Source organism: Homo sapiens, chromosome 20 (genome assembly GCF_000001405.40).
Source record: "Homo sapiens chromosome 20, GRCh38.p14 Primary Assembly".
Taxonomy (NCBI): domain Eukaryota; kingdom Metazoa; phylum Chordata; class Mammalia; order Primates; family Hominidae; genus Homo; species Homo sapiens.
The window spans coordinates 63,424,294-63,449,837 of NC_000020.11; the positions used below are offsets into that span (position 1 = coordinate 63,424,294).

The following is a 25,544-nucleotide window of genomic DNA, read 5'->3' on the forward strand; positions in this document are numbered from 1 at the left end:
GGGTCAGGGGCTGCAGGGGAGGGGGGTCTCAGAAAAGGCTGGGCAGGGGTGGAGCTGGCCCACCCACCCCAGAGAGCCCACGGCCCCAGGAACGGGCACCCCAGGGCCCACGGAGGCAGCTCCGAGAGGGAAGAGGGACTCCATGGGGCGGGGGCCTCTGCTCTTCTGACCTGGGGGTCTCTACCCCTCCACATTTACAGACACTCATTTTAATCAGAACCACACCAATATTAATAAAGTTCCAAAAAGCACGTGTTTGCTGAAGGAAGCTCTGGAAGGGAGTTTAATTTACAATCAATTTTCGAGACAGAGTGAGCTGCTCCGACTCTTTTTTCCACGCTCATCCTAATGGAATGATTCTCTTCCGCGTGACTTTCCAGGGGTGGCTCCACTGCGCCACAGTCAGTGAGCCCAGGGTTTGCACCGCTGACCAACTGTCCCGGCCTCGTCCTGCAGGCAAAGCTGTCTGGGCCTTCCGGCGTCTCATCTGGGGCTGTTTCCGCGGGTAAAGGCGTTATGGATTGAGTGAGAGATCGGCGGATCGTGATTTGGCTCATCCATGGGGAGGCCCCAGCGATCTCATTCGAACACCTGGGCTGGTGCCCCGGCTGGTACGCCGTGTTACAAGCAGGCTCTTTGGTGCACTTCCAAATACTTCATGTGACAGGGACCGTGTTGCCGTGGAACATGGTCCACGCTCTCGGGGAGGGTCCCTCATCACCTCCTGCAGCTCCCGGTGGCCCAGGTGTCCTTGGCTTGTGGCTGCACCGCCCCGTCTCTGCCTCCGTCTCTACACGACATTCTCTGTGTCTCTGTGTCTTCTCCTCCTCTACCTCTGTAAGGACAGCTGTCACCGGGCTAGGGCTCAAGCTGTCACCAGGCTCATCAGGATGTTCCAGGATGACCTCATCTCAAGATCCCAAGCTCAGTTACAGCTGCAAGGACCCTTTCTCCAAATCAGGTCACATTTGCAAATTCTGGGACATTTTGGAGACCAGCATTCAACCACTGCATTCCCCCGACCCCCCAAAATTCATGTCCATCTTACATCGAGAATACACTCACCCCTGCCAAGATCCCCCAAAATCTCCACCCTCTGCAGCATGGACTGTGTGTCCAAAACCTCATCGAAATCCCATCCGTTGGCCAGGCACAGTGGCTCACACCTGTAATCCCAGCACTTTGGGAGGCCGAGGCGGGTGGATCACCTGAGGTCAGGAGTTCGAGACCAGCCTGACCAACATGGTGAAACCCCGTCTCTACTAAAAATACAAAAATTAGCCGGGTGTGGTGGCAGGTGCCTGTAATCCCAGGTACTCGGGAGGTTGAGGGAGGAGAATCACTTGAACCCAGGAGGCAGAGGTTGCAGTAAGCTGTGATTGCGCCACTGCACTCCAGCCTGAGTGACGCAGGGAGACTCCGTCTCAGAGAAAAAAAAAAGAAATCCCACCCATTCAAAACGTCCCAAATCCCATCCTCTGAAGTCATGACAATCACTTAAATCAGGTATGTGTGAGACCGTGGGTGTGCGCCAACCTGGGGCTAAAGTCCTCCATGCATGGGCTTGTGAACTAGAAAACAAGCCATCTGCTTAAAGTATCAACAGCAGGACAGCTCTTCCCACTCAAAAAGGGAGAATGACAGAGGGGCCGCCGGCCACCACGTTTCCAATCCGGCGGGGCAAACTCCACGTGGCACAGCTCTGGGGACGCTCCTCGGGGGCTCTCAGCCCCGCCGGCCTCTGCGGGAGCCTCGGGATCGTTCCCCGTTTCCTAAAGGGCAGCTCGTGTTCACAGCTGAGGAGCGCCACCGGCCTGTTTCCTGCCTGCAGACTCCCGAAGTTCGATGCCCTCTTACCTTCGTCCAACGCTGTCTCTGCCAATCTAGTTTCTGCTGGTATGAAACTCCCCAAAACCTCTAGGGCCTCCTGAATATGCCACAGGCCGCAACGCCGTTAGACAAGAGGCCCCTCTGCACATCCTTCCCGATAGCTCCATCTTCAGGCCTCTGTGGAGACGGTGGAGGCTGCAGCCGCACACCTGGTGCCTTCAGCATGAGGCTGTCTGGCCACACCTGTGGGCTTCTCTCCAAAGCAGGCTTTGCCAACAGTGAATCTCCTAATTTAAGACCCTTTGCAAGCTGGACAGGCTGAGCACCTCCCAAACCTTCAAGTTCTGGTTTCTTACAGCAGTTCTGCCCTGAATGCCTTTTTTTTTTTTTTTAATAGTCTTTTGGCGGATCGGCCAGGTGCTGCTCTGAATCTCCCTGTTTCCTCTCATACTTTACTATGAGCAGCAGAAATAAATTAGGCTGCACCTTCCACACTTTGCTTGGAAATCTTCTTGGCTAAATATCCCAGTTCATCACTTAAAAATTCTGCCTCTGCCCAACAGTAGCGCACAGCCCAGTGGAGTCTCTGCCACCAACAACACAAGGACAGCCTTCCCTCCAGCTTCCAACACCTGCATCCTCACTTCCTCCTGAGCCCGCACCAGAAGCACCTTCAACATCCGTGTCCCCACCCACCATCTCTTCAGGACACCTCAGTTTCTTCCAGCCTGCACCTCAAAATACTCACGTCCAAAATCTCATCCAAATCCCATCAGTTCAAAAAGTCCCAAATTTCATCATCTGAAGTCATCAGAGGCCGGGCACAGTGGCTCACGCCTGTAATCCCAGCACTTTGGGAGGCCGAGACGGGCAGAGCCCTTGAGGTCAGGAGCTTCAGACCAGCCTGGCCAACATGGTGAAACCCCATCTCTACCAAAAATAACAAAACTTAGCCGGGCGTAGTAGCAGGTGTCTGTAATCCCAGCTACTCAGGAGGCTGAGGCAGGAGAATCACTTGTACCCGGGAAGTGGAGGTTGCAGTGAGCCAAGATCGCACCACTGCATTCCAGCCTGGGCGAAAGAGCAAGACTCCATCTCAAAATAATAATAATAAATAAAATAATAAAGTCATCAGAATCATTTAAATCAGGTGTGTGTGATTGCAGGTGTGCATCAGCCTGGGGCTGGAGTCCTCCACGCATGAACCTGTGATTCTAGGAAACGAGCCCTTGGCTCACCCGGTTCTGATGTCACACCCGCGCTTGTAGGCGTTTGCCACAGCCGCACGCGGCTCCCGGTATTAAAGTCTGGATTCATGTGCAACGGCTCCTGTAACTAAGTGCCGCTGGAGTGTGTAACAACAGATGTTTGTTCTTTCACAGTCCTAGACGCCAGAGTCCAAAATCAAGGTGCGGGCGGGGCCTGCTCCCTCCGAAAGCTCCAGGGAAGGGTCCTTTCTGCCTCTTCCAGCTTCTGTGGCTCCAGGCAGCCCTTGGCTTGTGGCCGCATCACTTCAGTCTCTCTCTCCATCCTAGCTGGCTATCACCTCTGTGTGCTTCCAAATCTCCCTCTCCTTGTAAGGACACTCGTTGTTGGACTCAGGGCCCGCCCGGAAAATCCAGGATGATCTGAGATCGTCCTGATAGGTTCCAGAGCAGAAGAGTGTCTCTAGGAGGCAGAAACCAGCATCCAACCCACTGGAAGCCCCTGCCCCACCAAGGGCTTTCAGACATGGAACTGCTTGGGGACGGCTCTGGGCCTGGGCAGGCCTGGCAGGTGCATTCGCCTTCCACCTCTCCTGCTCAGCAGGCCCTTCTGCAACCTACCTCGACAGCCGGCACTCTGACAGCCGTGGGCTTTGGGCCTGAAGGAGAGGCAGCAGGCGCCATCAGCACCTGAGTTACCACCAGGCACTCGAGAGGACGACGGGCTGGGACACTTTGTCGTACGACCCACGCGCCTGGGCCCCATTAGGAGCCATGCAGAGCCCCCGGCCCCATATCAACCTTCGCCCCTCCCTCTCTGCCCGTCCCCCGAACCAGCTGCCCCTCTGGGGGTGGGAGCCCAGACCAGGTCAGCAGACGCGAAAAGAGAAAGCACCACCATCACCAAGTCCAGCGTCCCCGCGCGTCCCAGCTCCCTGGAGTCCCTGGGGCACTGTCCTGGCGTGTCTTCTGTGGGCAGCTGGGGCCCCCAGGAGGACTGAGACGCCCACCCGCCCCACCTGGAGCTCCCCAGCTGACCTGAAAGCGAGTCCAGATTTACTCTTGAGGTTCCTCAGCAGCTCCAGCTGGTTCAGCGGGGGGATAAGTCTGGGGCAAGAGAAGGAGAGGGGAGTGAGCGTCTCACCCTCCCGAGTCCTGGGACACCTCCCTCTGCTTGCACAGCTCCATGGGCAGGCGCCTGCAGTGTCAGACACCCGGCGGCATGTGACGTGGCCAGGCTTTCAGGCAGCTGCCCACTGGGCCCTGGGCTCAGGCCCACCTCTCTTGGGCAGGCCTGGGAGCCATCTTCATTCTCTGGCTGTGCCTGGGGCCTTGTCAACCAGCAGGGACAGCAGGGAGGAGGGAAGAGGGCGCCTGGCCACCCATGCAGCCCCGACCCTGCAGCCTGGAGCAGGTGGAGGAGGGCGCGCAGGTAGGGGGAGGCGCTACTCCCCCTTCTAATCCCTGAACATCCTAGAGGGACAGCACGCGAATATATTTAGGGCCCCGGCCCCTCTCTACACAGCCACTTTCTCTGCCAAAGCTGGAGGAGTTGGGAGGTGGGGATACAGAAAAGGATTCTGCTTGGCAAAGAGCAGCTCATTCTGGAGTCTATAGGATGAGCCCAGCCTCATCAGGCCCAGATGCCTTGGGAATCCTCCGCAGGTGGCCCAGCTCTGCTCCGAGCCCCCTTCCCAGTCCTGGTCATACCCACCCCTGTCTTCCTGCCCTGCCGCCCACAGCCACCAGCAGGACCAAGTCCGGGCCCGCCGAAGCCCCCCAGGCAGGTATGCAGGCACCTCCTCACGTCTGGGTGGGACGTCCCCCTCTTCACCCCTCCCCACTCCCACCCACCTCACTCTGCCCACTCCTCCTCACCACCCATGCCCTCACAGCATTCCAGCTCGCTTCAGGAAGAGACACCCTCCTCTGGGGCCTCCCCCACCCGGCTCCCTGACCCACCTGAACCCCCTCCACTCCGCCTCCTCAGCCTCTGCTCCCAGGCCCTGCCATCCCATCCACGGCCTCCACCCCTCCCCACACCCACCTGTGGAGCACTCCCCACTGGGGCCACGTCCTGGTCTCTCCTCTGCGTTGGAGGCAGGACGGCCACCTCCCAGCCCAGCCCTCACCCAGCTGACTCCCTACGCGGCTATGGCCACGGCCACCCCCTGGAGATGCCCCTGCCCGTGTCCTCCCTCTGCCCCAGGCTGGGCCGTGGCCCACATCCTCCAGACTCTTCACCTGCCCTGCCTCTGCCCACCCAGGCTTACTTGGTCCTCCAGATGGGCATCCTTGCCACTCTCCTGACCAAACACTCAATGGCTCCCCACTGCCTCCAAAGCAAAAGGATGGCTGACTCCATTGTCCCTCAGGGCTTGGTGATCACCCTACTGCCGACTCCCACTTCGTCCAGCCACACTCCTCCCTCCAGAGCTGTCCAGAAGCCCCTCCCTGCACCCCACCAGCCTCTGGTGCCCCCCCACAGGCTAGGCAGGTGTGAGCTGGTAAAGCCGTGCCTGGCCCCTCTTTGTTCCCTCTGCAGCCCCAGAGGTGCCCCCAAAATGCTGGCAGGAGTGGGGCTCCTGTGAGCCCCCTCCCTGCAGAGGACAGTCCGCTGTCCAAGTCGGGATGGAGCAGGAACCAGGCAGCTGGTGAGCTGGTGTTGTGGGCGCAGCAGAGCCCAGCCTGGCCGGAGTCTGTCTGGGGGCCACAGGTGGCTCCCCACCCCTCCTTGATGGGACCCACACGCACGCAGGCCCAGGTGAGAGACACACACGTCAGCCCTCAGAGCCACATAGGAGGCCATGCCTCGAACACACAGAGCAGCAGCGCCAGGGCAGACAGGCGGGCGGCAGGGCCAGGGCAGGACGGAGCTGTGGGACGAGGGTGCAACAAGGGGAGGGGGCGGCCCTGGGAGAGAGCAGAGGCTGGGGAGGAGGCAGCCGGCTTCAGCGCCAGCCTCCTGGCCCCAGGGGCAGCAGGGCCTCTGCAGACATTGGAGATGTCTTATGGCTGAGCATGTCGGGGGCAGAGGAGCCCTGGACCCACCACTGCCCAGCACTGCACCCACTTCCTTTCTGGGAATGGAGAGTCAACATTCTAACAGTTCCCAGGAAGGGCAGCCAGGTCTCTCCTCCAGGACGGGTGACTGGCCCCTGGAGGAGTCATCAAGGGCTTCTGTGCAGGAAGCCCTTCTGGTCTATGTGGGGAGTGGCTGGCCCCAGGCTCTGCAGGGCAGTGTCATCACAGAGCACAAGCCTGCCCACCCGACAGGTAAAGGCCCTTTGTGCTGTATGGGGGTGAGGCTTCCCATAGCAGCTCAGCGCTCTCCAGTCTGAACAAACAGCCTTGTTTCCTGCTCTCAGCAGTGGGGACAGGGGTGGGACGGCCTGGAGCCCTGGGGTTCCCCTGTGATGCCAGGGCAAGACTCAGGAGAAACTTGAGTCCAGGGCAGGAGACCCTGAGGCAGACCCCTGAGGCTAGCTGGCCCGCAGAGGCTGCCCTGTGAGCCACGGTGGGACAAGGACTGTGGCTGGTCTGGGGGTCCTGGCCTGGGAGCACCCTTGGCCCCAGATGGGTGCCCAGCGCCAGGGCAGGGGAAGCCCCCCATCCATCATTCCTGCTCTGCTCACAGATGGGGCCTGTGGGGTGGGGATGGAGGCACGAGGGGAGCCAGGCCAGAAGCAGGACAGAACGAGACCACGGGGGACACAGGCGGGCTGGCAACAGGAAGCAGCGGCTGGGGGGAGGCAGGACGAGAAGGGTGGATGGGCCCTGGGAGGGCAGGGTTGGCACGTGGGCTCCAGGCAGGGGAGGGCCCAGGGTGATCTGGCCGCCCAGCATGGGGCCACGCAGGGCAGGGGGCATAGGGATGCTCGGTGGGCAGGGACAGTGGTCACTCTGCAGACCGGGTGGGCCACGGGGCTCCAGGGGCTTGCCCGGTCACAGTTCCAGACACAGAACTAGAACCACACACACACACAGGGCTTCTGTCCATGCATTTCCTACCTGGAGGCCCCGTAGGTTTGAGTTTGCGAACTTTCAAGTGTTTCCACACACACAAAGGGAAAAGAACGGAAAATTTCAAAAAGAACGGGATAAGAAAAAGAAAATGAAACAAATAGTTGAGGAAAGTAGGGGAAACAACAGAACAAAGAAAATTAGCACAAGGGCTGGTTCTGTCCCTGCCCTGGGCTGAGAGAGGTCACTTTGCAGAAACAAGGGCATGGCCGACATTCCCAGGAAAGACAAGCAGGGCCAGGCTCCTAAGGTCGGGCTTCCAGGAGGTGCAGGGGGGATGGTGCTGAGGGAGGGGTTGGGGCAGACCCCAGAGGGCGACTGCAAACATCGAGGACCGCCAAGGGCTCTGGCATCCTCCTCCCAAGTGACACCCTGAAAAGGCAGGTAGCAACTGAGGACTGCCGCGGGTCTGTCCACCCTGGCCAACTCAGGATCCTCAAGAAGAATCCTGGGCCCCACCCCAGCTTAGAATTCCCAGCCACACTGTGCACCTGCCCCACCCTCAGGGAAGGCCCCACCCTCAGGGAAAGCCCCGCCCACAGGGAAGGCCCCACCCTCAGGGAAGGCCCCACCCTCAGGGAAGGCTCCACCCTCAGGGTAGGATCCACCCACAGGGAAGGCCCCACCCGCAGGGAAGGCCCCACCCTCAGGGAAGGCCCCATCCACAGGGAAGGCTCCACCCTCAGGGAAGGATCCACCCACAGGGAAGACTCCACCCACAGGGAAGGCCCCACCCACAGGGAAGGCCCCACCCTCAGGGAAGGCCCCACCCTCAGGGAAGGATCCACCCACAGGGAAGGCCCCACCCTCAGGGAAGGCCACACCCACAGGGAAGGCTCCACCCTCTGGGAAGGATCCACCCACAGGGAAGGCTCCACCCACAGGGAAGGATCCACCCACAGGGAAGGCCCCAGCCTCTGGGAAGTCCCCACCCTCAGGGAAGGCTCCACCCACAGAGAAGGCTCCACCCTCTGGGAAGGCTCCACCCTCAGGGAAGGATCCACCCACAGGGAAGGCTCCACCCTCTGGGAAGGCCCCACCCACAGGGAAGGCCCCACCCTCAGGGAAGGCCCCACCCTCAGGGAAGGATCCACCCACAGGGAAGGCTCCACCCACAGGGAAGGCTCCACCCTCTGGGAAGGCTCCACCCTCAGGGAAGGATCCACCCACAGGGAAGGCTCCACCCTCTGGGAAGGCCCCACCCTCAGGGAAGGCTCCACCCTCAGGGAAGGATCCACCCACAGGGAAGGCTCCACCCACAGGGAAGGCTCCACCCTCTGGGAAGGCCCCACCCTCAGGGAAGGATCCACCCACAGAGAAGGCCCCACCCTCAGGGAAGGCCCCACCCTCTGGGAAGGCCCCACCCTCAGGGAAGGCTCCACCCTCAGGGAAGGCTCCACCCACAGGGAAGGCTCCACCCTCAGGGAAGGCCCCACCCTCAGGGAAGGCCCCACCCTCAGGGAAGGCTCCACCCTCTGGGAAGGCCCCACCCCCAGGGAAGGATCCACCCTCAGGGAAGGCTCCACCCACAGGGAAGGCCCCACCCTTAGGGAAGGCTCCAGGGGACAGAAACCCCCTAGGAGCAGGTGACGGGGGGCGCGGGAGCTGGGAAGTCCCGGGGCTCAGTTCCCCACCTCAGAGCAGAGGGCGGGCGGGCAAGGTGGTGCCCACACAGACGGACTCGAGGGGTCAGGCCCGCGTGGACCAGGAGAAAGGCCCTCAGAACCCCTCATCTCAGACCTTAATTTAAGCAAGAGCCAGGCAACGAAAATCCCAGCTGGCTGCCACCTGCCCTTTTGTAAAACAAAAAAACACGGGAAAGCCGCCCTCCGACCACACAGGCTCACAGGACCTGCTAGCACTGCCTCGACAGGCACTTTCTAGGCCCCCTTCTCTGCTGCCCGAGGGGCTCCAAGGTTGTCTGTGTGCTCTGTCCTGTTGGGGAACACCTGGGACCCCCAGGATAATTTGAGTTTCCTGGTCTGAAAGTCTCACTGTGATCCGGGGTTACTTTCCTGCCCCCCACGCCGGAGCCCTAGGTCCTTGATGGGGGACGGGGTCATGGTACTGGTTCCACTCTTGAAGCTTGGGCACCTCGAGCTGCCGGTCCAGAGCAGCCCGGGGAGCAGCTGTCGGTCCAGAGCAGCCCGGGGCGGGGGGCATTTACCTTGAGCTCCCTGGGGAGCGTCCTTGCAACGCACAAAACACAGCACGACCCACGGCCAGGACGATAAAGCAAAGGGGTGAGGAAATGAAAGTGAAGAGAAAGCCGCAGCTCTAACACAAAGGGCAGAAGCAACGCCTCGAAATAAACCACACACAGAACTCCTTTGTGAAAAATACATTTTAAAGAAAAAAAATCAATCAAAATAATGAACAACAAAAAGTGGGGTTTAAGAACAAATGGAAAATAAAAAATGAAACAGTTGCTTGGTGGCAGGTGCCCGGCGGCGGTACCTGTACATGGGCACGGTGACCGTTCGCTCGTAGTACTGCCACGTGGAGTGCAGGTCTGTGCGCGAGAGGTTGGTGGCGTAGAATCTCCAGGCCGACTGCGGAGGGAAAGACAAGGCAGTTGGCGAGGGGCAGGCGGCGAGGGGCGCGCCCAGGAGGGCCGGGCGTGGAGGGAACGGGGCAGAGGGGACCCCCATGCTGTAGGCCAGGCACTCAGGACTCTGGGCCAGCAGGCCAGGCCCCAGTGCTGCATCAGCCCCACAGCCTCAGTTTACCCTCTGTAGGACAGACAGGCAAGCCCGCTTGTCAGACGGTGGGGCCTGAAGGAGGGGAGCGGTTGGGGCTTGACTCGGGGCCCTGAGCGAGCTCGCAGGGAGGCTGTGTTCTTTCCTTTTCATGACTCTTACCTGGCCCCTGGCGGGTATCACCTGTCCTGGGGGTTACCTTCCTGACCTCCTGGTTGGGCCCTGGGCAACCTGAGGCGCTGGGAGTATGGGTAGGGCCAGGGACCTCAGCCTCCAACCTCCCAGGGCGGGGACTCAGCCCGGCTCGGGGCATGAGCCTGTACGTCAGACTGAACCTCGCCTGGCTGGATTTCCGTTCTCTATGCCTTTGTTTTGTTTTGCGGTGCTGAAATAGACATATCCTGAAGTTCACCATGTTAGCCATGTTAAAGCGTGCACTTCAGTAGCGCCTGCACACACAGTGCTGTGCGACCACTGCCCCTATCTAACTCCACACCTCTTCGTCGCCCCCAAATAAACCCCCTCCTACCCCCGACGTTCAGCAGGCGCTCCTGGTTCCTGGTCCCCCAGGCCCTGGCCACCGCCAGGGTGTACGGGGCTCCACGGACTTCCCCGCCCCGGGCATTTCCTGCCAAGGGCATCGCAAGCTGCACGGCCTTCCCCGTCTGGCTCCCTCCACTGAGCGTGACGTCCCCGCGGCCCATCCGCGTCGTAGCAAGGGGCAGCGCCCGCTCCTCCTGATAGGAGGATCGTATGGATAAATCACATTCCGTTCATCCATTAATAGACATTTCAGCTGTTTCCACTTTTTGGTTCCTATGAGTGGTGCTGCTGTGAAATTTGTGTGCACGTTTTTGGTTGAAGGTCTGTTTTCAATTCTTTTGTGTCTGTCTATACCTAGAGGTAGAATGGCCGGGTCACGTGACAACTCCACGTTTACGAACTTTCTGAGAAACAACCGAACTGCTTTCCAGGGTGACTGCATCGCTACATTCCTACCAGCAGGGGGGGCGGTGTCCACACATCCTCACTACGCTGATTTGCCATTTGCTAACATGTCAGCCGCCCTGGCCTGGCGCAGAGGCTCACAACACCTTGGAGGCTGAAGCAGGTGGATCGCCTGAGCCCAGGAGTTCAAGCCCAGCCTGGGAAACATGGCAAAACCCTGCCTTTACTTAAAACAAAAAATTAGCCAGATATGGTGGTGCACACCTGTAGTCCCAGTTACTCAGGAGGCTAAGGTGGGAGGATCGCTTGAACCTGGCAGGTCGAGGCTGCAGTGAGCCAAGATCACACAACTGCACTCCAGCCTGGGCAAGAGAGCAAGTCCCTATCTCAACAACAACAAAAAAAAAAAGTTGGCCATCCTAACGTGGAGCCTGAAGACGGGACTGAACTGCTGCCATCTCAGGATAAAACTCTAACAGGTGAGGAGCAGCATTTATGGATGAGCAAAGTAAGTGGTTTCTTGGGATGGACGGTGAACACTGCAGACAGCAGGGTAAGGTCACTTCTGTCAGGTCCAAACCAACCGAGGCCAGAGAGTACACGGCGGCAGGGCTCACGCCTGCATGGCTGAGATGAGGACAGTGTCAAAGACATTCTAAAATAACCCCACAAGGAATTCCTTATCAGGAATGCAGCAATTCAGACAAGATGCTCTAGGAAGAACACTGGCCCAGCAGCGGCATCTCAACCAGTGAACGGCTGCCAACTCTGGTTTTCAGCCTCAGAGCCAGTGAACTCTGTTTCCAAGCAGCTTATGTGAACTTCTCAGCCAGGGAGAGCTTCCCTGCCCCTCCCTCTCCGGCACATGGGTGGCTCGCCACACTGGCTCATCTCTCGAGAGTCCCCCACCCTCTGGCCACAGTGGTTCATCTCTGGTTATAATCCTTTCTTCTAATTCCCAAATACATTTGACATGTGTGTGGTTTCTTTTTTTTTTTTTTTGGTCGACAGAATCTACTCCAGGCAAAGATGTTGTGAACTGTGTTGAAATGACAAGGAATGAGAACATTATATAAACTTAGTTGATACAGCAGTGGCAGCATTTGAGAGGACTGACTGCGATGCTGAAAGGAGGTCCACTGGGTAAAACGCTATCCAACAGAATCGCATGCTGCAGAGAAATCTTTCGTGAAAGGAAGAGTGAATCGATGCGGCAAACCTCATTCTTGCCTTATTTTAAGAAATCACCACAGCCGGGCGCAGTGGCTCACGCCTGTAATCCCAGCACTTTGGGAGGCCAAGGCGGGAGGATCACGAAGTCAGGAGATCGAGACCATCCTGGCTAACACGGTGAAACCCCGTCTCTACTAAAAATACAAAAAATTAGCCAGGCGTGGTGGTGGGTGCCTGTAGTCCCAGCTACCTGGGAGGCTGAGGCAGGAGAATGGCAGGAACCAGGGAGGTGGAGCTTGCAGTGAGCTGAGATCGCACCACTGCACTCCAGCCTGGGCAACAGAGCGAGACTCCGTCTCAAAAAAAAAAAAAAAATCGCCACAGCCCCAGCCTTCAGCAGCCCCACCTCATCAGCAGTGGCCACCAGCATCGAGGTGAGACCCCCTACCAGCACAAAGATTGCAACTCGCAGAAGGCTCAGGTGATTGTTAGTATTTTTTTAGCAATTAAGTATTTGTAAGTGAAAGTACGTGCAGTGTTTTACTGTTTTTTAGACATAATGCTACTGCACACTTAGTAAGCTATGGCATGGTATAAACATAACTTTTTTTTTTTTTTTTTTTGAGACGGAGTCTCGGGCTGTTTCCCAGGCTGGAATGCAGTGGCGCAATCTCGGCTCACTGCAACCTCCGTCTCCCGGGTTCAAGTGATTCTCCTGCCTCAGCCTCCTGAGTAGCTGGGATTACAGGCGTGTGCCACCACGCCCAGCTAATTTTTTTGTATTTTTAGTAGAGATGGGGTTTCACCATGTTGGCTAAGCTGGTCTCGAACTCCTGACCTCAAGAGATCTGCCTGCCTCAGCCTCCTAAAGTGCTGGGATTACAGGTGGGAGCCACGGTGCCCAGCCTGTAAACATAACTTCCATATGCACTGGGAAACCACGAAATTTGTGTGACTCGCTTTATTGCCGTATCTCTACCGTAGTGGTCTGGAACCACGGCTGCAGGTCCTCTGAGGTGCGCCTGTGGAGAGGCCCAGCTGTGCTCTGGAAATGTGCACCAGCTGCTAAGAGTGACCTTCGAGGGAAGCAGGGCGCATGGGACCCTGGGTGCTCAGACGCTGCTTTTTCTGGCACTATTGTAACCTTTTCACCACACGTACGTGGTCACTTTTTAAACCGTCAATAGTGGAGTGAGATTTGGGGGCATTTTGGTTCTTCTTAAAACTCTTGCCTGGAAATAAATAGCTGTTTGTAGTTTTTATAGTGGAAGATAAATACACACCTTAAGGTAGGCTGGACCCAGAGCCAAGACCACAAGAGGCACATCCCCTGCAGTGGCCACTGACACTCCGCGGCTTGTGGCCACGTCTCCAGTCTCCGCCTTTGTGGTCACACTGCTTTCCCCTCCTCTGTGTCAAATCTCCTTCTTATAAGGATGCATGTGATTGCATTTAGGGCCCACCTGGGGTAACCCAGGATTATCTCCATCTCAAGATTTGCTGTCTAAGACAGGAGAGAGCCTATAGCCACATTCCGCTGGCAGGGATCCTGGTCAGCTCTGCGGGTCCAGTGGATGGAAGACTTTGGGGAGGAGCTGCAAGAATGGCTGGTCCCAAGGGGGTCCTGCTGTCTGTCCATATTTTCTCTTTTTTTTTGAGACGGAGTCTCGCTCTGTCACCCAGGCTGGAGTGCTGTGGCGTGATCTCGGCTCACTGCAACCTCCGCCTCCCTGGTTCAAGCGATTCTCCTGCTTCAGCCTCCCGAGTAGCTGGGATTACAGACGCACGCCACCACGCCCAGCTAATTTTTGTATTTTTAGGAGAGACAGGGTTTCACCATGTTGGCCAGGCTGGTCTTGATTTCCTGACCTCGTGATCCTCCCACCTCGGCCTCCCAAAGTGCTGGGATTGCAGGCGTGAGCCACTGTGCCCGGCCATTGTCTGTCCGTATTTTCAAGGTGGCTCAGGAATTACTTGTGGATGCCACAGTGGTCACTGCACGCTACCCACCCCCAAATGGTGGGACGGCACTGGGTGGGGTCCGGGCGGGCATCATGGGGGCCCACAGCCAGCATCAGGGGTCAGACGAGGTCAGGCACTGACTCACTGCAGTGTGTGGGCTCTAGGAGCCTTGGCCCTGCAGCTGCAGAACGGGTGTGCTCACCTCCCAGGGTGCGGTAGAGAGGACCTGATGGCCGGGCCCCAGCACCCACACAAGGCAAGGGCCACCCCAGCGTCCTCACACGAGCCACCCCTGTGCAGCCTCAGGGGTTGGAGCCATTTCTCAACACACACACTTCACATCCTCGCTCCTTCCACAGATTCCTGCAGAGGGTGAGCGCTGTGGCCCATCCACAGACAGGGCAATGCCAAAGCCCCAGCGGCCTCCACTCCTCAACAAGGTGGGACCAGGACAAGGGCTGTGCTGGTCCCCGGGGGACACCTGGACTCACCTGGATCAGGCCTGCTGCCGGGTTCCGCCTCTTCTCAAAGTGCTTCTGCCTGTGCTGCTCCTGAACCTTCAGGGCAAACCCAGACCCCAAGATGCCCTGCAATTCATCAGGGTCAGGTCACACCCCAGGGACCCCCCACACCCCAATTCATCAGGGTCAGACCATGCTCTGGGGCCCCACACCCCCCCCAATTCATCAGGGTCAGACCACACTCCAGAGACTCACACACCCCCCAATTCATCAGGGTCAGACCACGCCCCAGGGACTCACACACCCCCCAGTTCATCAGGGTCAGACCCGTCTCCACCGATCCATGCCTCCCCCACCTTCATCAAGGTCAGACTAATCCAGGAACCCATATCCCCACAATTTGTCAGCATCAAGAGGAAGGAACCCTCTGGCTTGCAGGAGACATGGCAGGACCCACACTGAACTCAGAGTGGCCTCTTTCCCTTCCACACAGAAGAGTCTGCAGGCCCATCTTGAAGGGCACACAGTGAAGGGGACACCGGGGCCAGCCTCTTGCCGTGCACCAGCTGCCCTGCCCTGCCCTGCCCTGGGGCAACAAGGGTTGACAGGGCCCCTCCACCTCCCTCTGAGCTGGGTGGGCCTCACTGCCTAGAGACCCATGAGGGACCTGTGTCACCAGCCGCCCTGCTCCTGGTCACAAGGACCTCCTGCTCAGCCCCACTCAGACTAAGAGGGGCCACCAGTGACTAACAGAGCCCCCTGAAGCTACAGCCGCAGCCTTGGGCATGCTCCTGTCGGGGCTGGGGAACCCCCACTCCAGTCCTTGGGGAACAAGGCCTCTGACCCTGAGCTGCCACCTCCAGCTCCTGGGGGCTGTGGACCTGCTGAGAGCTGCTCCTGCCCCAGGTCCCACCTAGGGAACTGTGCCCAGGGGCCTGTGGTCACCTCGGGAGCCTACAAGACCTCGTCCCCCTCCAAGGCAGGCAGGGGCAGCTGGACTTACTGCAGGCAGCGCGAAGAAGGAGACACCGATGAGGGTGAAGGTTGCCGCAAGGAGCCTGCCGTTCCAGGTCTGGGGGTACTTGTCCCCGTAGCCAATGGTGGTCAGCGTGATCTGTGGGACCGCAGGCTCTAGTCACACGAAGGGCCTGCTCACACCCCTGAGGGCAGGCTGGACGCCCGCTGGCGACTCGGGGCTTGGGATGGGACAGATGCGGGGCCACCCCCGTGTCACCATCCACACGGAGGCCCAGTGAGGCCAGGGTCGGTGTCGGCCGCCCCTCATCCCCTGAGCCCTCTCTCCTCTTCCCCTACAGGCCAGAAGCGGGGTCCAGCCAAAGGCTGTGTCCCCATCTCACATCGAGAACCAGAGGCCCAGCGACGTGACTCCCACGAGGCTCGGCTAGGACAGCAGCCCCCACTGCATCCCCGCCAGGTGAAGAGTGCAGCTGGGGAGAAGGGAGTGCCCAGAGGGACCCAGAGGAACGGGCAGGGCGTGCAGGGGGCTCGCTGAGCCTGAGCTGAGCTGAGGCCAGAGGAGAGGGGTGGGCAGGAGGAGGCCACCACAAGAGGCGGGGGAGTGGTCTCCACCGAGCCATGGCGGGGTGGGCTGCTCCTGGAGCAGGGACCCCAGGGGTTGTGCTTAGTTTCTCTAGGGGTGGTGGGCAAGGGGGAGGTCAGGCCAGGTTGGACCTCCCCAAGGGTCCCGGTGAGCCCAGGAGCACCCGACTCGGGGCCTGGATGAGGGGAAGCGAAGGACGGACACGTCTCCAAGCAGCTCCGACAAGAGATGCCTGTGCCGGGGCCGAGGAAGGCAGGGGCAGGCACCCTGCACTCAGTGCTGGACATGTTGGGGCCGCAGCCCACCCCCGCCTGCCAGAACCGCACGCACCACAAGCCACGGGCTCAGGACAGCCGCACGGAGGCCACTCTGGCTAGGACCAGAAGGTGGGCCCAGGACAGGCCCTGTGAGGGCAGAGTCTTAGATAAACAGACAGAGGGATCGAGGCCTGAGCGCAGACAGCAGGGCCGGGAAGGGGAGACCTCTCACCAGGACCTGCAGCCCCACCTTGGGGAGTTTACCCTGGGTTCCGAGGACGCTGCTGTGTGGTCTGAGGACAGGGTGGGCCGGCTGGGCCGCACCTGCTCCACACCGACAGGAAGCTGTGGCCTGGTGCAAAGCAGCGCCAGCACCTGGGGGCCTTGGCTGCCACCACCACGCGGAGCGCACAGGAGACTCTGGGAAGGAGGCTGCCACACAGAGTGGGCGGGAGGCTGGGCGAGGCCTGACCAAGAAACCTCTCCTGGGGAGACTAAGCCAGGGCCTCAGCCCTCTACACAATTTCGTTACCAAAGGAGGCGTGGTTTTTTGTTTGTTTGTTTGTTTGTTTTGAGACAGAGTCTCGCTCTGTCCCCCAGGCTGGAGTGCAGTGGCGTGATCCCGGCTCACTGCAAGCTCCGCCTCCCAGGTTCACGCCATTCTCCTGCCTCAGCCTCCCGAGTAGCTGGGACTACAGGCGCCCGCCACCACACCCGGCTAATTTTTTGTATTCAAGGAAAAGGAAGCCGGAGGCCTGGCAGATGGGGCCTGGCCTGCGGGGGAGGTGAGGGCGGGGTTCCCCCCACACTGCTGAAAACCCCCAAAGGCTGCAAGAAAGGGAAACTGGGGGTAGATCTCATCCCAGTAGGAGGTACACAGTCAGCGCGTTTGAATCAGGAAATACCAGCATCCCTATTTGCTATTTAAGACTAATCAGGTAAACCCCAAAGAAAAACACAGAAGCAGCCGCATCCGCTGCAGAGGGACCCAGAGGGGAGGGCACCGCGGCCACAGAGTGGGGCTCTATTCTCACCATAAGGCTTAGTAACTCTCTGACATTTAAAAATATACACAAGCATTACTCTGAAAAAACACCCAATCGTAAAGATAAGAAGGCTGTTGCCCACAAAAGACCTGGGGGATGGGCTTGTCCCCATCAAAAGTCCTAGGGCCCAGCAGTCACAGCTCAGGACGCCCCGGGCCCCACCCTGACCCTGTGGTGGGGCCTGAACCACACAAGATGGCTCAGTGAGTCCAGGTCATCTGTATGGTCCACAGCCTGGGCCCCGGGGCACGCTCAGCTCTCAACCCCCACCCAAGCCCCGACTGGGAAGACAGTGTCCAGGTCTCATGAAATTAATAAAATAACTTCGGATCAGCTGCATCCGGCTTAGGCACCAGGTGGAGCTGCCCATGCCTTCCCCGCAGGGCTGAGCCCACTCAGCCGGCATGTGCGGGGCTAGGCCCGGGGTCTGGTCTCAGCCTCCCAGGAGAGCACAGACCCTGCCCCTGTGCACCAGCAGCCTGAGGGTGTCTGTGGCCCCAGGTGAGGAGGAGCCCAGGGGCCAGATCTGTTCAGACCTGATCAGAGTGGGGCCTGCAGAGCCACCTAGTCTCCAAAAACTCAGGGCTGCCCAGGACAGATCTCCTAGGGATGCCTCTTCTCCCCTTTCCCCCAATAATCGGGACACGGAGCAGGTGGAGGGTCACTCAGGAGGAAGGAAGATGCCCACCACGGCTGAGCTCAGGAGGAAGGAAGATGCCCACCACGGCTGAGCTCAGGCTCTCTGGGGCCCAGCCCTCCCCACCCACTCCCCCGCCAGCTTGGCAACCACCACCCCGCCTCGACCACAAGCCATCATGACCACGGGCAGCCAGCAGGTGGCCCCAAAGAGATGTATGGAGCAGGCTCAGCCAGTGAGAGCCTGGTCCCAGCACAGGGACAGGGGTGTATCAGCAGGGAAAGGGAAAACCACAATGACCACAACTCACCAGGCCCCACCAGAGTGCATCCGCGTAGGTGTCAAAGTGGTCGTTCTCCCCCTTCTCTGCCAAGTACACCAGGAACGAGGCCAGGATGAGACAAAGGAAGCCGATGTACCAGGCAGTGACCAGCTCCTGAGAGGCAGACGGCACCACCATCATGACCACCATCACCAGAAGCATCACCATCACCACCACCAACACCACCACCATCACATCAACACCATGACCACCATCACCACCACCAAAACCATCACCACCACCATCACCACCACCACCACCACCACCATCACCATCACCACCATCACCATCACCACCACCACCACCATCATCACCACCTCCACCATCACCACCATCACCATCACCACCATCACCATCACCACCACCACCATCACCATTACCACCACCATTACCACCACCATCACCATCACCATCACCACCACCACCATCACCATCACCACCACCATCACCATCACCATTATCACCACCACCATCACCACCATCACCACCACCATCACCATCACCACCATCACCATCACCACCACCATCACCATCATCACCATCACCACCACCACCACCATCACCACCATTACCATCACCATCACCACCATCACCATCACCACCACCATCACATCACCACCACCATCACCATCATCAGCATCACCATCACCATTATCACCACCACCACCATTATCACCACCATCACCATCACCACCACCACTATCACCACCACCACCATCATCACCACCACCATCACCGGCGCCACCACCATCACATCACCATCACCATCACCACCACCACCACCATCACCACCACCACCATGATCACCACCATCACCATCACCACCATCACATCACCATCGCCACCATCATCACCACCATCACCATCACCATCATCACCACCACCATCACCATCATCACCACCACCACCATCACCATCACCACCATCACCACCACCACCACCATCACCATCATCACCACCATCATCACCACCACCATCACCATCACCACCATCACCATCACCACCATCATCACCATCACCATCACCACCACCATCACCATCACCACCATCACCACCATCATCACCACCACCATCACCATCACCACCACCACGATCACCACCATCACCATCACCACCACCACCACCATGACCATCATGACCATCACCACCACCACCACCATCACTACCACCATCACCACCATCACCCTCACCACCATCACCACCCGCCACCTGCCTCCAGGAGCACTGCAGCCTCGCCAGTCAGCCCACTTTGGGCTCTGTCTCCAGGGATATAGGGGCTGGATGGACCCGTCTCCTGAGGCCAGCAGAGGCTCCACGCCAGGGTCGGTGGCAGGGCTGGCACAGGGGAACCAGGAGGCGCCGCTGGCTTCACCATCTTAGCTACGGCAGCCCATTCCCCTGAGCCTCCTGGCCTGGGCAACAGTGGCTCGCACGGCCAGCCCACCGTGCCCTCCAGGGTCAGTAGCGTCTATTCTGGCGGCCAGCAGGGCTGGAGAATCTTGGGACTGTTGAGACCCTCCCCCAACCTCCCTGAGCCTCCGGGCACAGATGTGAAAAGGGTGCCCACTGCAGTCAGCACTCAACCCCCACAGCGTCCAGGGAGGGAGAGGGGCCACCGGGGGCTGACCCCTGCCCATTCTGCAGACAAAGCCACCACCCTGCCAGGGCTCAAGAGGGAAGAAAATGGGGAGGGGGCCATTTGAGCAAATGAGCCCACCCGTGAGCAAGGTGGAGGGACAGCACAGTCTGGCAGGATGGGGTCTCGGTCACTGGGGGGCCTGGGGCCCCTGGAACTCAGCATGTGTGGCCACAGCCACCCTCTGGGTCCCCCGGACAGCGGCCGCCGCAAGCCGCAGCTTAAACAACCACCAGGCAGGTGACTAGCACTTTGTATTGATCCAGGCACTAAAAACCCAGGAAAGAAGACACCCAACCACAGAGCCAAGGGTTCGCGGCAGGAAGGTGGGGGTGGCAGGGGCCAAAATGGCCTGGCCTGGCCTTTCGAAAAAGCAGCTTTCTGGAGACAGATGACAAAGATGGCCCAAGTCACGAGAAGAAGCACCGAGAAGAAAGGGGAGGGAGGCTCGTTCACACCTGATGGGCTCCAGCCAGAGCCACCACTGACTCCATCCCTCCACCCAGGGCTCTTGAAGCAAACCCCAGGCAGGGGTGGGGCCCGGTCTGGGCCAGGACTCTCGCTGGCTGGGGGCGCCCACCGCCAGCCTTGGGGCCGTGACTCACCTTGCTGTGGGCATAGACCACAGAGCCCAGCAGCTTCCAGGTGCCTCCCCGCCGGTCCATGCGGATCATCCGCAGAATCTGCAGGAAGCGCAGGCTCCGGAGCGCAGATGTGGCAAAGACGTTGCCCTGGGAGCCGGCGGCCAGCACCGCAATGGAGGCGATGAGCACCATGATGTCTACAAAGCGGGCGTGGAGCTGGTGAGCTGCTGGGCCGCTCCCCGCACCCCCTTGGAGAAAACTCCCCACCCCGCGTTCCAGGAGGATGTGCAGAGGGGCGGGAAGGTGTATGCCCAGCGCCTGGTGTGGGCTCTGTCAGGCCCCAGGAAGGACATTACTATCGTCCACCCTGCCTGTGGGGCCCAGGATGGGCAGCCCAGCGCCACATTCCTCTTCCTGACATTTAGGCAGAGTTAACCACAGCCTCTGACTCCAAGTCAGCAGGTGAAAAGAAACTTCCAGAAGGAGCCAGTCCTGCCCAGCCTCTCTGGCCCACGCAGACGCCCCAGCTCCCCCCAGGGCTGAGTCCGTCCCTGGGTGCCTGGCCCTGATTCTAGCAATACCACCCCCACCAGGCCTCACCAATCACACAGAACGGTTTCCGGGCAAACTTGAGCCGCCCCCTCCAGCCACGGTACCGGCAGCAGCAGCCTGCGGCCCAGATCCGCACGAAGTACTCCACGCCAAACACCACGATAGTCACGATTTCCTGCAGGGGAGGAAAGCTGAGGCCACCTTGAGGCCTGGGGGAGGGCCTGGGGGCCCAGCCTGGACACCCACAGGAGCAGTTCTGGCCCAGGGACCAAGCCACAGGGCAGGAGGCCCCCAAAGGAAACTGCAAGCTGACCCCCCCACCCCTCTCCAGCCTCTGGGCAGGAAGGGTTGGGCCCTCTGGAGACCCTGCATCCGGGAACACAGCTGAGCATGAACACCATGGGGCCACCCTCCCCACCTCCCTGTCTGAGCTGGGGACTCTATCTGGGCTAGGGGACCATGTCTGAGCTGGCAGGGCTGCCCTGTCTGAGCTAGGGGGTTCTATCTGGGCTAGGGAACCCTGTCTGAGCTGGGAGGCCCTGTCTGAGCTGGGAGGCCCTGTCTGAGCTGGGGGACCCTGTCTGAGCTGGGGGACCCTGTCTGAGCTGGGAGGCCCTGTCTGAGCTGGGGGACCCTGTCTGAGCTGGGAGGCCCTGTCTGAGCTGGGGGACCCTGTCTGAGCTGGGGGACCCTGTCTGAGCTGGGAGGCCCTGTCTGAGCTGGGGGACCCTGTCTGAGCTGGGGGACCCTGTCTGAGCTGGGAGGCCCTGTCTGAGCTGGGGGACCCTGTCTGAGCTGGGGGACCCTGTCTGAGCTGGGGGACCCTGTCTGAGCTGGTTGGGGAGCTGCCCTGTCCAAGCTGGGGGACTCTATCTGAGTTGGGGGCCCCTGTCTGAGCTGGGGGACCCTGTCTGAGCCAGTGGGGGACCTGCCTTGAGTTGGGGGGTGCACAGCAGGGCTGAGCTGAGGGAAGGCCCCAGGTAACTGCAAAGGGGGCCACAGTCTCCACCCAGACCTTGGGAAGCCCCAGAACAGAGGAGCAGGGCGGGCAGTAGAGGGAGGTGCATTTGGATGGGGACCAGTCTCCTTGAGGGCCCCCCACCCCGTTACCAACAGCAACACAGGAACTGCACTCCCGTTGCCATGGCGCCCACCCTGCCCTGGCACAGGGTTGCTGCAAGCGTCACAGCCCCCACCCCGACGCCCACGTCTGCCGTCTGCTGGGGACGCCCCACATCTCCGGCTCCAGAGATAAAGTGGGGATGGGAAAGGGAGGGTGGCCCACCCAGGGTGGGGGCGATGGAGGCGGGGCTGTCAGCCACTGTGAGGTCACCAGGAGGGGTGAGGTGAGGGCTGAGTTACAGCCAGGGTGGGGCTGGGGCATAGCCCGGGCTGTGGGGCTGGGGGCAGATGGGAACTGACAGGGCACAAAGACATGGCCAGAGCTGGGGCTGGGGGCGTCAGAGGCCCTGTAGTAACAGGAACGGAAGACAGACGCCCAGGCAGCTCCAGCTCCTTCCTGGGCACTTCCAGCCCCCGCCCTCCCTCGGGGCTCACCAGGATGTAGAGGGCCCCCTCCGAGCTCTTCTCATACTCCTTGATGGTGGAAAACACAGACAGCACGAGGCAGGAGAAAACCAGGAGGAACCTGGGGGCAGGGAACGCGCGCTCTCAGACAGGCCGCAGCAGGGCAGCAGCATGGCTGTGTCTCCAGAACTCAGGACCCCACTCCCCACCAGGCCGCAGCAGGGCACCAGCATGGCCGCGTCTCCAGAACGCAGGACCCCACTCCCCACCCACCCCACCAGAGCTCGCTCGGGCCAGAGGGCACCCCCATAGCCACCTCCCGGGACCCTGAACTCCACAGTGGCAGCTGCCCCCTCTATGCGCAGCTGCCCCCTCCAGGACGCACCCCCCTCTCCACTCTGGCCCCTGCCCCTTCTGTCTGGTTTCAGCCTGGCAGCCTCATCCTTTGGCAACGTCTCCAAAACTCTCAGTCAAATGGGAACAGCAAGGCCTGCCCATCAACTGCTACAAACACAGGAACAAGCAAAACCCCTGGGGCAGAAGGCACCGATCAGCCTTCCCCTCTCCTCACTCTCGGCCACCTCCTCCAGACCCCAACGCAGAGGGCTTCTCTCTGCCAGTTAAACCCGGAGCCAAGCAACAGGAGCTCCTCGGATCACCTTCTTTCCAGCCTCGTCCTGGCTGCCAGGAGGCTCCGTTTCTCCTTCCTCCCGGGTTGCAGGCACCTCCTCCCGCCAGTGACTTCCACCATGATTGCTCTTCCCATTCACGTCCCACGCGATTACCTCACTCACTGATCCTTCTTCAATTTCCCCTCAGATGCTCAAGTTCACACCCCACCAAAATTCCCCCAAATGCATGTGGGTATTTTTGTTTTTGTTTGTTTTGTTTTGTTTTGAGATACAGTTTCACTTGTCGCGCAGGCTGGAGTGCAATGGCGTGATCTTGGCTCGCTGCAACCTCCGCCTCCCGGGTTCAAGCAATTCTCCCGCCTCAGCCTCCAGAGTTGCTGGGATTACAGGCATGTGCCACCACACCAGGCTAATTTTTGTATTTTTTTAGTGGAGATGGGGTTTCATCACATTGGCCAGGCTAGTCTCGAACACCTGGGCTCAAGTGATGCTCCCGCCTCGGCCCCCCAAAGGGCTGGGATTACAGTCATGAGCTACCATGCTCGGCCCAAATGCGTGACTTTTTCTCAGCCCTGCATTCTCCTCTGATACAAGCGACTCTGCTACACTTGCTCCCTTGCCCACCCCAGGAAGCTGCAGACAGGAGGAGCCCGCTAGCCCCCGAAGACCCTGCCGCGGGAACCCGGCTTGTGGCTGCAACAAGGCCACCCACATAGAAGAGACATAGAAGATCTCCCAGCTCTTCCTGGGAGCAAAGCTGTGCAACCCAGAGCCTCAAGCTGCCGCTTTGGCAGGAAAGCCAACTCCCGCGTGCTGAAGTCACTGAATGCACACCAGAGAGAAACCCACTTCGCAGGAAGCAAATGCTTTGTCTCATTTACATTTTTCGCAGGTGTTCTGGGATGTGAAGGGGACGTGTCCAACGTCCAGGTCCTTCGTCACAGCCATAAAGGAGGCCATGCGTGGGACACGCCCTCATTCCAGGCAATGTGAGAGACGCCTTCACCTTGACCGTGTTGCTGCCTCTCGTTCCAACCGTGCTCAGAACCAGGAGCCGGCGGGGACGGAGCCACAGAGCAGCCGCTTCCCCGTGTCCGCGCCCCTGTACTGTCTTCACACTCGCCATCACCTTGCACACCCTGCGGCACCACACGACCGCCACGGAGCCTGTGGGGCCCTCCTGTGTCTCAAACCCGAGCCCTTCCCCGGCGCCCACATCCAGGTGGGTGTCAAGGGAGGGAGATTCCCCACACTCAGGATCTCCTTCCCTCTGTCCCCAAAGCAGTGCTGCAGTCCAGCCTGGGTTCCGGGCAGTGTCCCCGCTCCCCTCTCCCCACTCCCACAGAGGAAATATTCCCTGGATGCCCCGACCTGCAGGGCCGAGACTGGGCACAGGCACGGGCATCCTGGGGGAAGTCCCTCCAGCCCGGATACGCCCACCCCTGACCTGCTGGGCCGGGGCACTGGCCACAGGCATGGGCATCCTGGGGGGGAGTCTCTCCAGACTGGTCACGCCCCCTCATCATTGGAGCTTCGGAGCATCACAGCACCTGTCTAGACCCACCCCTCCTGTCTCAGCCTTGCAATTTCCTTTCCAGTCTGGGGGTGCAGGGATGCTCATGGGATCGAGGCTGGCCAACCACGGCCAGCGAGTGGTGGCCCCAGAATCTCTGCTGGAACTACCAGGAATAAGACACCCCCTTCCCACAAAGGTTGCCAACTAGGAGGAGGCAGGCCTGGGGCACTGGCAGGAGGACGGGTGGGCACAGGAAAACCTGCCTGAAGATGAGGTCATGAGGAAGGCAGCACAGAAGGATGGGAGAAGAGGCCTTAAGACACATAATGTGAGCACCTGGATCCAGCTGTGCCTGAAGCCCCTTGGACTTCCAGGTTATGTAAGCCCATTCCTTACAACCCTTTGCATTTGTTTTCTGCCCCTTGCAAATAAAAGACCATGACCTTTCACGCTATGAGCAGCTGACATCGGTGTGTCCCTGCTGCGAGCCCACGCCTGACTCCACCATGCTGTGGCCACATGCTACTCTGACCCACAGCTCCTCCCTGGGCAGACAAGCCACGCGGCTGTGACACAAGCTGCCACGGATCAAAAAGGAAAAAACAAGTCCTCGATGTGCGGAGCTATTTAGTGAGCACAGGTCAGCGTTGGCCGCAGTGCCTGGAGGGTCTGGAGGGTTTGGGGAGCAGAGGTCAGCATTGGCTGTGGTGCCTGGTGGGAAGAGGACCCCACTCTGCTCACGGCTTCACTGTCTTGTGGGAGAGCCCCTGGGGAGCACCGCAGAGAGAGGAGGGACTCACCAAAGGCCGAGCTCCACAGCCCGGGAGAAGAGGGAAAAGCCCCAGCGTCTGAGCTCCTGGGAGAAGAGGGAAGAGGGAAGCCCCAGTGTCTGCGGCCTGCAGGGAGACTTCTCAGACTTTTGGCCGCGGAGGCAGAAGGACAGGGCCAGGCCATCCGGGCACAAACCCGGGGC

The 25,544-nt window shown here is 59.8% G+C and overlaps 1 protein-coding gene and 2 long non-coding RNA genes across 16 annotated transcripts in view; 2 read left to right on the top strand and 1 right to left on the bottom strand.

The window, feature by feature from the left end:
* Positions 1-25,544, bottom strand: part of KCNQ2 (potassium voltage-gated channel subfamily Q member 2) — a 72,448-nt gene that overhangs the window by 24,086 nt on the left and 22,818 nt on the right. For 8 of the 13 annotated variants that reach the window (NM_172108.5, NM_001439003.1, XM_017027841.3 and 5 more), the window contains exons 2-10: positions 22,454-22,544; positions 20,945-21,071; positions 20,366-20,541; positions 18,113-18,238; positions 15,305-15,415; positions 14,332-14,427; positions 9,516-9,610; positions 7,047-7,076; positions 4,074-4,142 (exon numbers count right to left, since the gene is read on the bottom strand). In NM_172108.5, coding sequence (NP_742106.1) covers positions 4,074-4,142; positions 7,047-7,076; positions 9,516-9,610; positions 14,332-14,427; positions 15,305-15,415; positions 18,113-18,238; positions 20,366-20,541; positions 20,945-21,071; positions 22,454-22,544 — 921 coding nt within the window. Of the gene's footprint in view, positions 1-4,073; positions 4,143-7,046; positions 7,077-9,384; positions 9,611-14,331; positions 14,428-15,304; positions 15,416-18,112; positions 18,239-20,365; positions 20,542-20,944; positions 21,072-22,453; positions 22,545-25,544 lie in introns of those variants that run through there. The other 5 variants (NM_001439004.1, XM_047440144.1, NM_004518.6 and 2 more) reach the window with 2 other exon arrangements.
* On the top strand, positions 11,053-11,798 carry LOC105372721 (uncharacterized). Its single transcript, XR_937000.1, has 2 exons — positions 11,053-11,184; positions 11,717-11,798. It is a non-coding gene; the product is annotated as an uncharacterized LOC105372721 (long non-coding RNA).
* On the top strand, positions 24,148-25,097 carry KCNQ2-AS1 (KCNQ2 antisense RNA 1). 2 transcript variants are annotated; one of them, XR_007067714.1, is made up of 3 exons: positions 24,148-24,277; positions 24,768-24,899; positions 25,007-25,097. It is a non-coding gene; the product is annotated as a KCNQ2 antisense RNA 1 (long non-coding RNA). The 2 variants fall into 2 exon arrangements; XR_001754758.2 differs by having other exon boundaries at positions 24,768-25,025.